The sequence below is a fragment of the Homo sapiens genome, chromosome 17 (assembly GCF_000001405.40).
Source record: "Homo sapiens chromosome 17, GRCh38.p14 Primary Assembly".
In the NCBI taxonomy this organism is placed as follows: domain Eukaryota; kingdom Metazoa; phylum Chordata; class Mammalia; order Primates; family Hominidae; genus Homo; species Homo sapiens.
The window spans coordinates 76,499,254-76,513,431 of NC_000017.11; the positions used below are offsets into that span (position 1 = coordinate 76,499,254).

The 14,178-nt window shown below is 53.6% G+C and overlaps 1 protein-coding gene across 21 annotated transcripts in view, besides 6 other annotated features; it reads right to left on the bottom strand.

The window, feature by feature from the left end:
* Positions 1-2,174, bottom strand: part of RHBDF2 (rhomboid 5 homolog 2) — a 30,535-nt gene extending 28,361 nt beyond the window's left edge. For 9 of the 21 annotated variants that reach the window (NR_164785.1, NR_164787.1, XM_047436752.1 and 6 more), the window contains exon 1: positions 1,683-2,170. The gene's annotated coding sequence lies outside the window, so the exon portion shown is untranslated. Of the gene's footprint in view, positions 1-1,622 lie in introns of all 21 variants that reach the window. The other 12 variants (XM_011525251.3, XM_047436744.1, NM_024599.5 and 9 more) reach the window with 3 other exon arrangements.
* Positions 1,428-2,097: an enhancer, noted in NCBI's record as "H3K27ac-H3K4me1 hESC enhancer chr17:74496763-74497432 (GRCh37/hg19 assembly coordinates)". NCBI's record gives its function as "activates a minimal SCP1, AML or CMV promoter by ChIP-STARR-seq in naive H9 embryonic stem cells {active_cell/tissue: H9 hESC(naive)}" and the evidence as "EXISTENCE:reporter gene assay evidence [ECO:0000049][PMID:30033119]".
* Positions 1,428-2,397: a biological region, named in NCBI's record as "H3K27ac-H3K4me1 hESC enhancer GRCh37_chr17:74496763-74497432".
* Positions 1,758-2,397: a silencer, noted in NCBI's record as "silent region_9021". NCBI's record gives its function as "represses an Ori minimal core promoter by ATAC-STARR-seq in GM12878 lymphoblastoid cells {active_cell/tissue: GM12878}" and the evidence as "EXISTENCE:reporter gene assay evidence [ECO:0000049][PMID:35858748]".
* Positions 2,448-2,587: an enhancer, noted in NCBI's record as "active region_12809". NCBI's record gives its function as "activates an Ori minimal core promoter by ATAC-STARR-seq in GM12878 lymphoblastoid cells {active_cell/tissue: GM12878}" and the evidence as "EXISTENCE:reporter gene assay evidence [ECO:0000049][PMID:35858748]".
* Positions 10,983-11,193: a silencer, noted in NCBI's record as "fragment chr17:74506318-74506528 (GRCh37/hg19 assembly coordinates)". NCBI's record gives its function as "represses an EF-1alpha promoter that drives an FKBP-Casp9 reporter gene in an ReSE screen in K562 erythroleukemia cells {active_cell/tissue: K562}" and the evidence as "EXISTENCE:reporter gene assay evidence [ECO:0000049][PMID:32094911]".
* Positions 13,576-14,178: an enhancer, noted in NCBI's record as "H3K27ac-H3K4me1 hESC enhancer chr17:74508911-74509513 (GRCh37/hg19 assembly coordinates)". NCBI's record gives its function as "activates a minimal SCP1, AML or CMV promoter by ChIP-STARR-seq in primed H9 embryonic stem cells {active_cell/tissue: H9 hESC(primed)}" and the evidence as "EXISTENCE:reporter gene assay evidence [ECO:0000049][PMID:30033119]".

A 14,178-nucleotide genomic window follows, 5' to 3' on the forward strand; every position in this document is an offset into this window, starting at 1 on the left:
GAAGTGAACAGGATGGGTATAATGGCTACTGCAAGAAAACAGGGAGGGAGGGCAGCGAGGTGGCCCCAGCTCCTGGGCATGGACGTGGCTGCTTCATCCGATCCTCTCCCACCGTGCCAGCCACCCCTCCTTGTTGCCAGAAAACTGGAAGTACATTCCTCCAGCCCAATACAAACAACTCTGAGTCATCCCTACTGGGGGGCCACCTGGCCTGTGCTTTGATGTCTCCCATCTCTCACCTCTGCTCAGCTAACACCATGGGCAGGGGTGCCTCCACCCCATCAGCAGCTGGGCCCACTCCAGGGCTCGTCAGCTAACCCAGGGTGCCCTCTTTATTGCAGGACAAAAGCAGCCTGGGGACCCCCCAGGAATTAGGAGCCCTGATACTCCTTGGATGTCACTTTCAAAAGGTGTACATAATTGGAGGAGTTAGGTGTGAGTTCAGAAGGGAAAATTCCAGCAGGTCACATGGTATCAGGCAACCATGCCAGCTTCAGCAATCCAGCTTTGGGAAAATCTATGGGAAGAGAGCTCGCCCTCTGCCCACCCTCCCAGCCCAGGGATATTTGAGCTCAAGGGCTGCCTCAGCCCAGCCTTCCTGGGAGATTGCCCTGGGGTTAAGCACCCCAGGCCTGGGCTGCAAGGGGGTCCTCTGTTCCCAACCTCTCCCCCACAGCACCTAGACCAGCTTCCTGCAGGGCCAGTGGAGATTGGGAAAGGCGGTGTCTCATGGCACCAAAGGAAGACTCTTGTGAGGGGAATAAGTGCCCTCACACTGCCTTACCCCTCATCTCATTCAGGTTTATTCCAAGTTCCTCCCCTAACCACTCTGGAAAACTGAGGTAGTTTCCCCAGTGAGGGAGCATCATTGAGAAGGAACCTGATGGACCAGCTGCTGCGCAGGGTTTCTCAGCCTCAGCACAGCCCAACACCTTGGGCTGGATAATTCCTCGTTATGTGGGCTGTTCCGTGCCCTGAAGATGTCTGGTAGCGTCCCTGGCCTCTACCCACTACCTGCCAGTAACAACAACACTCACTTCCCCTCCCAAGTGTGTGACACCCAAAATGACTCCAACATTGCCAAATATCCCATGGCAGGCAAAGTCGCCCCTGGTTGAGAACCACAGCTCTAAAACACGCCTCCCTTTCCACTGCCTGCCCTACGGACAGTGAGGGTCGAATAAGGCAGATGCTGGTCTCATTATATTACCAGCAAATGGCACACACTGGGGGCCTGATGCCAGCCGCCCAGGCAACAGCAGCCTCTCCCCAAGTGGGGTCAGCTCCCCACCGCCTTCTGCTCCTCAGACACACCCGCTGCCACCCTCTCAGTAGCTCCAACCCTAGAGCCCCCTCCGTTAATCTTTCATGGAATGGGGCAGGGCCAAAACCTAGGCTTCCTTTGCGCCCTGGCGTGGGAGTGGGGCGGGGTCTGTACCCTAGGGAACTTATCCGTCTCTATCCCAATGCCCTGGGGGAACATCCGAGGGGCCAAACAGGTAAAAGGCAAGCCCAGGGCCAACCTTCCCCAGCCCCTCCATCCAGAAGTCAGGACTCCTGGGTCCAATTTCTGAGCTCCGGTCCAGCCCTGCTGTGTGAGTCCCTCATCCCCACCCCCGCACCTGTTTCCACCTTGGCTGGCTCAACCAACAAACTTCGGCCCCGGTCCGCCCGGTGCTCACCCGGGAGAAAGTGGAGGGGAGAGAAGGGTCTGAACTGCAGGCACTTCTGGGACGCAGGCGGGACTGCCCTGCGCAGTCTCCTCTCTTCCTCCGGAGGTTTAAATCTCTGCCCAATCGTCTTGCCCCTACATCTGGCGCCCCGTCGCCCAGGGACCCCTTAGGCGTCCTGTCCGAGCCGAGCCCTAGGGGCCAGCAGACCGGGTCCAGCGGCCCCGCCGGCGCCGTCTGAGCCAGCCCGGGCCTCCAGCCGAGCCCACGTGGGACCCAGGCGCTCCGCAGGGCGGGCACCGGGCACTGGGCACCCTTCCTGGCCGCGCACCACCGCTCCAGGGCAGGCTCGGGCACAACCTCGGGACCCTTCCGGCGCCTGCGGCTGGGCGGCCGTGAGTCCTGCCCCGCTCGTCGCCCCGCGCTCACCTCCCTGCGGCCCCAAGTCCCCGGGACGCAACTCCGTGCGGCGCCTGCGAGCGGCTGGGCGGTGGCTCCTCGGGGGCGGGGCGGCGGCGCTCCGCCTCTTCCCTACCTGCGCGCGGGCGGCCGGGAGGCGGGGCTGGGCTCCAGGGGGCGTGGCCGGGCTCATGGGGGCGGGGCCTGGACGCAGTCTTTGCTCAGTCGGCTTCCTGGGTTCCTGCCTCCGCCCTCCACCCAGCTGGGTCCCCGCCTGGGCAGAGCCCTGTTTTCGCCTGAGCTGGTCTCTTCAGGGCGCCGTCCTTTCCCTCTTGGCGTCCTCACTCCACCCCAGACCAAACACGTCATCTAGGTCTTGATTGCCGTCTTCAAGTCGCCCCTCCCCATCAAGAAAAAGCACCCAATCTCCCATCCCCTTCTTCCAGCGCCCTCATCCTCAGGCCAAGTGGGCCTGTTCCCTTGACCCTTTTAGTCTGTAGTCACACTCTCTCCGGGAAGCTGGGCCTGAACACCTCCTCTCCCTCCTGGACCCTGAGGCCTCTCTCCTAGCTCTGCTGTGCCCTTGGGTTGGGAACAGGCACTCCGTGGAGGTCCTATCTGCATTTGCCCTGCAGCTAAGGCCAACATTTGTGACTCCTGCCAACCCCCTACACACCCCGTAGAAGCATTGACAGAACCCACCCAGCTCTGGCCCTTCCAGCTGCCATGCGGGCCAGAGCCAGACTGGAGATTGGGGACGCTGGCGACACCTGGCCCCTTGGCTTGGGTCTGTCTGCCCAGGTGGTTCCTTCTCTCTTCCCTGGACTCCAAGGGCCTGCCTCTTGGGACTAGACAAACAAAACCTTGGCCAGGGCAGCTAGGACCGAACTCCAAGGTCTGGATGCCCCGTTCTCAGCCCCAGCGCTTATCATCTCGCCGTCCCTCTCCAGGAGGCCTGGCTAGGCCAGGAGGAGCAGAGTTTGAAGAGACTCAGGCTTGGAGGGGTGGGGGTGGGGTTGTCAGGGCCAAGGCAAAACCTCTGGCCCTTAGAGAGCTCCTGAGCCACCCTGCCCCCCAACCCAAGGACTCTGGTGTTTATTGCTGACCTGGGTGGAGGTGGGGAGCACCTGGCTGCTGGAGATTATCCTGAGAGATGCATCTCTCCTCCCCAGCTCTGGGGCCATGAGGAGGGCACAGGCTGGAAGGAGGGGGAGTGGGCCAAAGCTGGGGTGGGGGTTGCTCCTAGTAACAAATGTAAGGGACCATTTATTGTGCAACCAGCACATCCTGGGGTTATGTGCAGAGAGGAACAAAACCAGGGCCTGCCCACGAAGTGCCAGCATTCTACAGGGAGACGTTGGAACTCAATACTGTAACAGGAAGGGTGAGAGCAGCTAGCCATTCCAAAGTGCTTTAGTCTGTATAATCCGCAGTACAGGTCTATGAAGTGGGTACCATTATGATCATCCCCATTTTAGGGATGAGAAAACTGAGGCAGAGGGAGATGTGAGGGGAGCAGCTGGGGTTTAAACTCGGTCATGATCTGACTTTAGACTCTAACAAACACTGCTGCAAATGCCTGAGCTGGGTTCTCTCTCCTGGAGCTCTACTGGAAGCTCTGCAGGAGTCCCCAGGAGGGGAGGGATTCATGGTGGTGCTTAAGCTGGTGTCAGGGATTTGTCCCATGCAAACATGGCGTGCTGCCCGGCCACATAGGTGCAGGGAGGCTGATTACAGCCTTGGCTGCAGCAACACGCACCTGTGAGGCCAGAGAGGGAAGAATGTTAAATAGGCCAGGGGTATAACTTGTGATAATGTCACACAGCTGTTAAAAGCAACGAGGCAGCTATCCATGTACTGAGAAAGGAATTATCTCCAACTTATAGTAAGTTAAAAAAAAAAAAGCAAGCTGCATGTTTAGTATAATCCTATTTACCTAAATTTAAATAGAACAGACATATATATGTTGGTAGATCCATACAAACTTTCTGGAAGGATATCTGTGGAGTAACCCTGCAGGGGTTTAGGGGGAGAGAGTCACTTGCTTTTCATTTTGTATCATGTGCATATATTACTTACATAACTTAAAGAGAAACACTGTCTAAACTCTTTGTTTTTGTTTTGAGACAAGGTTTTGGTGTCACCCAGGCTGGAGTACAGTATACTCATGGCTTATTGCAGCCTCGACCTCTGGGGCTCAAGTGATCCTCCCACTTCAGCCTCCTGAGTAGCTGGGACTATAGGTGCACGCCATCCTTTCTGGCTAACTAAATTTTTTTTTTGTAGAGATGGTGGTGGGCGGTGGGGGGGGGCCTCACTACGTCGCTCAGGCTGGCCTCAAACTCCTGGATTCAAGTGATCCTGCTTTGGCCTCCAAAATCGGTGGGATTACACTTTACATATTTTACTTTTATAACTTAAAGAAAAACACTGTTGGCCGGGCGCAGTGGCTCACTCCTGTAATACCAGCATTTTGGGAGGCCGAGGCGGGCAGATCACCTGAGGTCGGGAGTTCGAGACCAGCCTGGCCAACATGGAGAAACCCCATCTCTACTAAAAATACAAAATTAGCCAGGCGTGGTGGCACATGCCTGTAATCCCAGCTACTCGGGAGGCTGAGGCAGGAGAATCGCTTGAACCCGGGAGGCAGAGGTTGCAGTGAGCTGAGATTGCACCATTGCACTCCAGCCTAAGCAATAAGAGGGAAACTCTGTCTCAAAAAAAAAAAAAAAAAAAAAAGGAAAAGAAAAAGAAAGAATAAGTGAAAAACACCGTCTAAGCTTTTTTATTTTTATGGACCTACAGGTGTAGGGAAGATCTTCACAGATTGGGATAAGGAAAGGGATTTCTAGTGGGAAGAACAAGAACGAAGACACAGCCGGGAAACTGGCTGTGGTGGGGAAGCTTCTGGTGCTATGGCTTGGCTACATCGCAGGCTGTGTGAGGAGGAGGACAGGAGAAGCCTGGGGAGGCAGCGGGGGCTCAGGGTGGAGGCTGCTGTGTGTCTGGATAAGGGTTTTTACTTTCTTCTGTAAGCAAGGGGGAGCCCATGAGGCATTCTTCAACTAGGAAATTGCACCCTCATATTTTCTGCTTGTGTCCCCTCCTTTAAAACATGCTTTCACAGACACTATTTCATTTATTATTATTATTTATTTATTTTTGAACCGCAGTCTCGCTCTGTCGCCAGGCTGGAGTGCAGTGGCGCAATCTCCACTCACTGCAACCTCGGCCTTCTGGGTTCAAGTGATTCTCGTGTCTCAGTTTCCCGAGCAGCTGGGATTACAGGCATGCGCCACCACATCCAACTAATTTTTTTTTTTTGAGACAGAGTTTCTCTCTTGTTGCCCAGGCTGGAGTGCAATGGCGCAATCTCGGCTCACCACAACCTCCACCTCTCGGGTTCAAGCGATTCTCCTGCCTCAGCCTCCCAAGTAGCTGGGATTACAGGCATGCACCACCACACCTGGCTAATTTTGTATATTTTTAGTAGAGATGGGGTTTCTCCATGTTGGTCAGGCTGGTCTCGAACTCCCAACCTCAGGTGATCCTCCTGCCTCTGTCTCCCAAAGTGCTGGGATTACAAGTATGAGCCACTGTGCCTGGCCTTTTTTTTTGTATTTTTAGTAGAGATGGGGTTTCACCATATTGGCCAGGATGGTCTCGATCTCCTGACCTCGTGATCTGCCCACTTCAGCCTCCCAAAGCACTGGGATTACAGGTGTGAGCCACTGTGCCCGGCCTATTATTATTTTTTGAGGCCGTTATCTTGCTCTGTCATCCAGGCTGGAGTGCAGTGGTACAATGGGAATCACTGTAGCCTCAACCTCCTGGGCTCAAGTGATCCTCCCACCTCAACCTCCTGAGTAGCTGGGACTACAGGCCACCACACTCAGCTAATTTTGCTTTATTGTTTGTAGAGATGGAGGTCTCACTATGTTGCCCAGGCTGGTCTTGAACTCCTGGACTCAAGCGATCTTCCCGCCTCGGCCTCCCACAGTGCTGGGTTTACAGGCATGAGCCACTGCGCCCAGCCTATTTTATTTTTTAAATCTTGACAACAATTCTGCAGATAGGCAGGTCAGGCTTTACAGATGAGGACACTGAGGCTGCTGTGGAATTAAGACCAGCGACAGAGTTTGACATTGAGAAGCGTTGGTCCTCAGTGAGTACTGCCTTAGAGGAAGGCAGGAGAACATGCCCCAGAGAGGGACCCACCCTGGGAACTGCACACCCTGAGACCCCCTCAAGACTCACTTTGTGATCCTCGGAAGAAAAGGGCAGAGGGTCTTGAAGCCATTAGTTAGCAAACTCAGAAAAGCTCCGACAACACACCTTTGAAGGACGCCCTGGTATTTGTCCACGGGAGTAAAATATTAGGGGTCTATGTTTAGCTTTTTTCATTTTTAGAACGTGAGCGGCCGGGTGTGGTGGCTCACACCTGTAATCCCAGCACTTTCGGAGGCCAAGCCGGTGGTGGATCACTTGAGGTCAGGAATTCGAGACCCACCTGGACAACATGATGGAACCCCCATCTCTACTAAAAATACAAAAATTAGCCAGGCATGATCGCACATGCCTGTAATCCCAGCTACTTGGGAGGCTGAGGCAGGAGAATCGCTTGAACCTGGGAGGTGGAGGCTGCAGTGAGCTGAGATCGCGCCTCTGCACTCCACCCTGGGCGACAGAGTGAGACTCCATCTCAAAAAAAAAAAAAAAAAAAAAAAAAGGAACAGTGAATCTTTTGAATGAGAGGATGCTGGATGCTGACTTCCTTGTCAAGGTTCAGAGAAGTGTAGGACTGTGCCCAAGAACGCACAGGTGGTGAGAGAGAGCAGGGCTGGGTGCTGGGCCCCACACCCATACTCTTTCCAGCCATTCCGGTGGACCATTCCCATCTTTTGGAAGGGCCATTCTGGCTGTGCTCAGGACAGATGGGTTTGGGCAAAGGTGGGGAGGCCAGGTGAGAGGGAGCAGGGGAGTGGCTGGGGGAGCAGAGTAGAGGGAGGGATGAGAAGGGCATCCCCTCTCTTCGGAATTTAGCTGACACAAGCCCCCAGACTTCCTCTCCATATATGCTCTGGATTTACCTCCCCTTACCCCCAGGCCTCCAGCAGGGAGAGTCGGCAGCGGGAGTGGGCCCAGGTGGGAGCCCCAGAGAAAGGAACCACAGGATCTTGCCCGCCTGGCCGCAGAGATTGATGATGCGGGATCGCCATCTGGTGGCGAGAAGAGGTACCGCGCCAAGGAATCCACGTGGTCAGGGGAACCCGGGGAAGCCGCAGTCTTAGTGCTCCCCGCCACCTGCTTTCTCACCAGATACCCTGGCAGTCCAGCCTGAAGGTTAAGGGCACAGAGGCACAGGCTCGCTCTCAACAGGACTCGTCAGTGGTTAGCAAGATGCCAAAGCCTCTGTAACGCCTCTCCTTGCCACCCTGCCTGCCTTTACGACATGCCGGGGAGGGCACCAGTGAGTGACCTCTCTCCAAGGGTTCATGGGCCACCAGACCCTTAGGCACCTTGGGAGCTGCCTGCCACCAGGGGAGAAGCCAGGGTGCCTGGCATTCCTGGGTGCTGGGGAGGAGGCGGATGTGGTCAGACTCCTTAGGCCCAGAGATACTTTTCAGCTATCTCCTCCTGGTGCTATTCCTTCCCCCATGGTGCCCTTGAAATCCATCTCCACCTCCCTCCCAGCAGGCTGCTCCTCACCAGTGTTCTCACCCCACTGTCAGCCCTCCACTGGGTCATCCTAGTCTCAGCCAGGGCTCGGTCATTCCCATTAGCCCTTGGGAATGGACTTTGAAAGCTATTCCAGAGCCCCTGTCACCTGCTCAGCCCAGCTGTGCTCATTTTTCAGGCGCCCATCACTGCTGTATCTTCCCTCCCCAACCTTGGAGGCCTCAGTCACCCTGGGAGGAGAGTGAGGCCCGGGGGAAGGGCGCTGGCCTCGGGGGCATGCAAATGTTCAGGTACACCCAGCTCATCACTAATTAGCTTGTGAGATTAAGCAAGTTACTTAACTTTGGAATACTGAGGCCACCCTAGAAAGACATGCCATCCAGAAGCCATAAACCAGAAGATTGACAGATTGACATAAATGCCACCAATTTCCGTGCCACAAAAGGCACTGTAGACAAAGTTAAAAGCCAAACAGCTGGGCAAGGTGGCCCACATCTATAATCCCAGCATTTTGGGAGGCTGAGGCGGGAGGATCACTTGAGTCCAGGAGTTTGAGCTCAGCCTGGGCAACGTGGCCAGATGCCATCTCTACAAAAAAATAAAACCCGTCTAATTTTTATATTTTTGTAGAGATGGGGTTTTGCTATGTTGCCCAGGCTGGTCTTGAACTATTAGGCTCAAGTGATCCATCTGCCTTGGCCTCCCAAAGTGCTGGGATTACAGGTGTGAGCCACTGCGTCTGACAGTTTTAACTTCTTGATCATAGGTCCTCTCTGCCCCTGCTCCACAGCAACCAGCTACAGTCCTACCAGCCCATCCACACATCTCCTTCCGTTTCTTCCGCTGCCCTGGTTGCTTCAGGCGTAAGCCCGGGGTGGCCTCCATGCCTTCCCTAGTCCACCCTGCACAGGCTGCCAGCTCTGTGGCCACCACTGCTCCTGTTCCAGGATCTCCAGTGGCTCTAGGTCACCTCCCAAAGACAGTCTGAGCTCCTCAGCCATCGAGAGCCCCACAACCTGGTGCCAACATACTTCCCTGGTCTTACCTGGTATGTTCTCCATCACAGATTTGGCTTTCTGTAGCTCCCAGTCTCTGCTCACTTGCCTCCAGGGTCTCCACCGCTGACATGGTCTCCCTTCCTCACGGAGCCTTGAGCTGCTCTGCACCTCTTTTCCAGAACTTTCCTTGACGCCCCTTCTGGACAAGCTCCCTCCTCTGTGGTGTCCACGCTCATGTACACAACCTCCTTCTTCTCTCATGGAGAGATTTGAGAGGAGAAACAGGACCTCATTTAGTCTTTTTTTTTTTTTTTTTTTTTTTGAGACAGAGTCTTGCTCTGTCGCCCAGGCTGGAGTGCAATGGCACGATCTCGGTTCACTGCAAGCTCTGCCTCCCCAGTTCACACCATTCTCCTGCCTCAGCTTCCTGAGTATCTGGGGCTACAGGTACCCACCACCACGCCCGGCTAATTTTTTGTATTTTTAGTAGAGACGGGATTTCATTGTGTTAGCCAGGATGGTCTCTATCTCCTGACCTCGTGATCCGCCTTCCTCAGCCTCCTAAAGTGCTGGGATTACAGGCGTGAGCCACCGTGCCCAGCCCTAGTCTCTTTTAAAAAAAGTAATAGTGATGGGGTCTCACTATGTTGCCCAGGCTGGCCTCAAACTCCTGGGCTTAAACAATCCTCCTGCCTCCACCTCTCTAGTAGCTGGGAATACAAGCTCGAGCCATCGCGCCCTGTTTAACGTGATTTACTGATGGATGGGATGTGAGGGGTGAAAGAGAGGACAGTTGAGGAGGACTCCAGGGCTTCTTGCCTATTTAAATTGGCAAACAGAGCCTCCACTTTCGAGGGGAAATAGCCAGGGAAGAGGAGGCTTTGGCAGGGGTTCCGCTTCGTCCACACGAAGCGTGAGGGGTCCAGGAAGCAGCTGGAGGCTCCAGCCTGAATCAGGATAGAGATGTCAGGGCTGGGATTTAAATTTGGGATTGGATGAGCTCACTGAGAAAAGAGTGTGGGAAGAAAAGAGGGGCAAGGACAGAGCCCTGGAGCCATCAGCCCTGAGTCCAGAATAAAGGGACCAGGGAGAGGGAGGATTGGGAGAGGGAGGATTAGGAAGGGGGAGGTGGCATTGAGCTGAGATCGAGCCACTGCATTCCAGCCTGGGCTACTAAGCAAGACCGTGTCTCAAAAAATAAAATAAAATTAAAAAAATTACAAAATAAGGCCGGGTGTGGTGGCTCACGCCTATAATCCCAGCACTTTGGGAGGCCGAGACAGGTGGATCACCTGAGGTCAGGAGTTCAAGACCAGCCTAGCCAACATGGTGAAATCCTGTTCTACTAAAAATACAAAAAAAAAATAGCCGAGTGTGGTGGTGGGTGCCTGTAATCCCAGCTACTCAGGAGGCTGAGGCAGGAGAATTGCTTGAACCCAGGAGGCAGAGGTTGCAGTGAGCCGAGATCATGCCATTGCATTTAGCCTGGGCAATAAGAGCGAAACTCCGTCTCAAAAAAAAAAAAAATTACAAAAAAATCTAATAGAAATTTGGTAGAAAGGATAAGAACAATTCACAGAAGAATAAGTAAAAATGGTCAATGAATATAGAAGATATCCAACCTCACTAGTAATTTGGGAGATGTAAATCAAATCTGTGATGATCCCTAGCAACCAGATCTCCATGTCTGAATGGCAGGTGCCACTCAAGGAACCCTGGGGAAGTGGCTGGCTCCAGGGCCAGGGCCAGGGCCAGGGCCGGGCAAGAGCATGAGGAGCCTGGCACATGTTGTTCGCAGCAGAAAGCAAGGAAGCTTTAAAAGATTAATGGGGCCATGTCAAAAGGACACAGGAGCCAGCTGGAAGGGACTCCTACTGGCCAAGTTGTAACAATTTGAACATCAGAAAGAAAAACGATTGGCCGGGTGCTGTGACTCACGCCTGTAATCCCAGCACTTTGGGATTCCGAGGCGGGTGGATCACGAGGTCAGGAGATCAAGACCCTCCTGGCTAACATGGTGAAACCCCGCCTCTACTAAAAATACAAAAAAATTAGCTGGGCGTGGTGGCGGGTGCCTGTAGTCCCAGCTACTCAGGAGCCTGAGGCAGGAGAATGGCGTGAACCCAGGAGGCGGAGCTTGCAGTGAGCCAAGATTGCGCCACTGCACTCCAGCCTGGGTGACAGAGGGAGACTCCGTCTAAAAAAAAAAAAAAAAAAAAAGTCATTTGTTCATTAGACACTCAAACTGGGGAAATCCAGAGAAACTCTTGGGACCCCACCAAAGCATTTATTCAACCAAACTCTTGGCCAGGCCCAGTGGCAGGTAATCTCAGCACTTAGGGAGGCTGAGGTGGGAGGATCACTTGTGCTCAGGAGTTTGAGACCAGCCTGGGCAACATAGCAAGACTCAGTTTCTAAAAAAGAAAGAAAGAAAGAAAGAAAAATAAATTAGCCGAAGGTGGCGGCATGCACCCGTTGTCCTAAGCTACTCAGGAGGCTGAGGCAGGAGGATCGCTTGAGCCCAGGAGTTTGAGGCTGCAGCGAGCCATGATTGTGCCACTGCATTCTAGCCCAAGCCAGAGAGCAAGATCCTACCTCTTTAAAAATATATATATATATATGTGTATATATATGTGTGTATATATATGTGTGTATATATATATGTGTATATATATATATGTGTATATATGTGTGTGTGTATATATATATATGTGTGTGTGTGTGTGTGTGTGTGTGTGTGTGTGTGTGTGTATCAGGCCCAGAGAGGCAAAAAAATCAAGCATCTATCCTGCCTTTCCAGTAGAAACTGTATTTCAAAGCAGCCAAATAGTTGTCCGGTTTGAGGAAGGAATGCTTTGCTTTACAGAAGAATGCCAGCTGTATTAGGTATTTCTGGCTGCAAAACAATTTATCCCAAAACTTAGCTGCTTGAAACAGCACACGTTTATTATCACTCAGTTCCTGTGGGTCCAGGAATCTGGGCGTGGCTTAGCTGGTTCCTTTGGCTCAGGGTCTCTCATAGGGTGTCAACGAGAAGCTACAGTCATCTCGAGACTTGACTGGGGGACAATCCACTTTGAAGCTCACTCCCTCGGTGACAGGATTCAATGTCCGTCTGGCTGTTGGATTGAGGCTTTCTTTCCCCACTGGCAGTTGTCCAGAGACAGGGACGCTACACAGGAGTGTCAGCTGGGCAGTAGCACAGGACTCTGGGCTCAGAAGCCTCTGTGCTTGGTTTAACGCTCTGCTGTCCCCACATTGGAAGGCGTAATCATTTTTTCTTTGAACTTGTGTCTTATAGTGAAGTCCAGCTGGACAGTGGAGCATGCACCCTATCCACAGCTGACATCCACTGGACTCGCATACAACGTTCTCCATGTCCATGGCACAGTGGTCTGGCGGATCCATGTTGGGTGGGAGTCTAGCAAGATTCAATGTGAATACAAAGTAAGTGAGTTAAGGAAGCCACTGGCTTCCCCGGAGTGTTGGGAGAATCAAGAAGTGAAATAAAGGTGGGGTGCGGTGGCTCATGCCTGTAATCCCAGCACTTTGGGAGGCCAAGGTGGGCAGATCATCTGAGGTCAGGAGTTGGAGACCAGCCTGGCCAACATGGCCATACCCTGTCTCCACTAAAAATACAAAAACTAGCCAGGTGTGGTGGTGGGCACCTGTGGCCCCAGCTACTCGGGAGGCTCAGGCAGGAGAATCGCTTGAACTCGGGAGGTGGAGGTTACGGTGAGCCGAGATTGTGTCACTGCACTCCAGCCTAGGCGATAGAGTGAGACTCCGTCTCAAAAACAAAAACAAAAACAAAAGTGAAATAAAAACAGGTGAGTTAGTTTTGTGCAGTGTTTCCACTGCTGTGGTAAGAACAACACACACCACAGACGCATGTAGGAACTATGAAATACCAATTGTGTAATTCTGCTGATTCTGCATTATGAATTCAATGCTCTTCTATTTGTGTGCAAAAACTGGCATTGCACAATATAAAGATGGATAGTAAAATTCATGCTGACAATTTAAATTTGTATTTTAAAATAAATGACACTGTCATCCCAGCTACTCGGAAAGCTGAGGCAGGAGGATTACTTGAACCCCGGAGTTCAAGACCAGCCTAGGCAACAGCCTGGGTGGGGGCTGCTGGCCCCCCTGGGCTTTCTGTTCCCTGGGACCCTCATCCTAACTCCTAGGGAGTCGTGCATGGGGCCACTGGGTTCAGCAGAAAGAACAGCAGGTAACCCAAAGCCAGCAGGTAACCAAGCTTTCACAGAGAGGGTGAGAGGCTGGCTCGTGGTTGCACAGCAAGTCCAGGGAGATTGGAGCCCGTCTGGGTCTCTTGGGACCAATCTAAAACCAAGCAGCCTCAGACACTGCTTTGCTGGCTCCACGGTCACCAAGGAGAAATGGAAGAGGCTCTTCCAAGGAGCTCTTCTCTCCCAAGGCCCCCAGAGGGTAGGAGAGGCAGAGGCTGGGTCCCATCTCACCTCCCGAGCTGCCACCGACGCCTGGGCCCTCCCTTTCTCCCTTGGCCCAGATGTCACTCCAGGGTAAGAAGCTGGGAGCAAAAGTCTCTGGTCACTGGTCCCCCTAGATCACACCCCTGTGCTCTTCCCGCCTCAGATCCCAGCTGCCCTCGCCACCCTCATCATCCTTCCCCGTTAGCTGCTGCTGGTGTGGGGCCATCGGAAGGTTTGAGCAGGGGCCGACGAGGTCAATTTTCCTGAAGAGAGCTTTGCTGGATGGAGCCTGGACTGTAGGAGGTGACCTTGGAGACCACCGGGGAGGCCGTGGGGAGCCCGGGCCAGGGCGATGTCTTCCTGTCCTGCTGTGTCCTCTCTGCTTCTCTCTAATGGTGGGGACTGTGGGAGAGGCTGGGACTTTGGGGTCAGCCTGTGGCTCCTGCCTTGCCCCGTGGCCGTGGGCGGCTTGTTGATGAGCCCAGCTCTTTGGCTGTAAGATGGGGTCATGAGGTGCATCTCTGAGGGTGATGGAGGGGAACAGATGAGGCCCGTCTAGAAGAGACCCTCCCTACCTCAGGAACCCCGTCCTTGCTCATCTGAACTCACCCCGCTGTTCACATGTTTGCTTACTATGCTCTTCGTCCTTGGGGATGGATGCTTCCTCTGGCAGGCCCTGCCTGTCTGCTCTGGCACCCAGATCAGAAGGGCCCAGCTCCCAAAGGGCTCAAGAGGAGGAGGAGGAAGGGACTCTGGGCGGCAGATCCCTGCCTCTTCCCTGGCTCCTTCCTCCTGGTCCACTAGGGTAGTGGGCTAAATGGTGGCCCCCAGAGATATGAGGCCCAGGAACCTGTGCATGTGAAGTTTTTGGAAAAGAGTTGTTGCAGATGTCACTAAGCTGAGGATCTCAAGATGAGATCATCCCAGATTTAGGGTGAGCCCTAAATCCAGTGACACGTGTCCTTAGAAGAG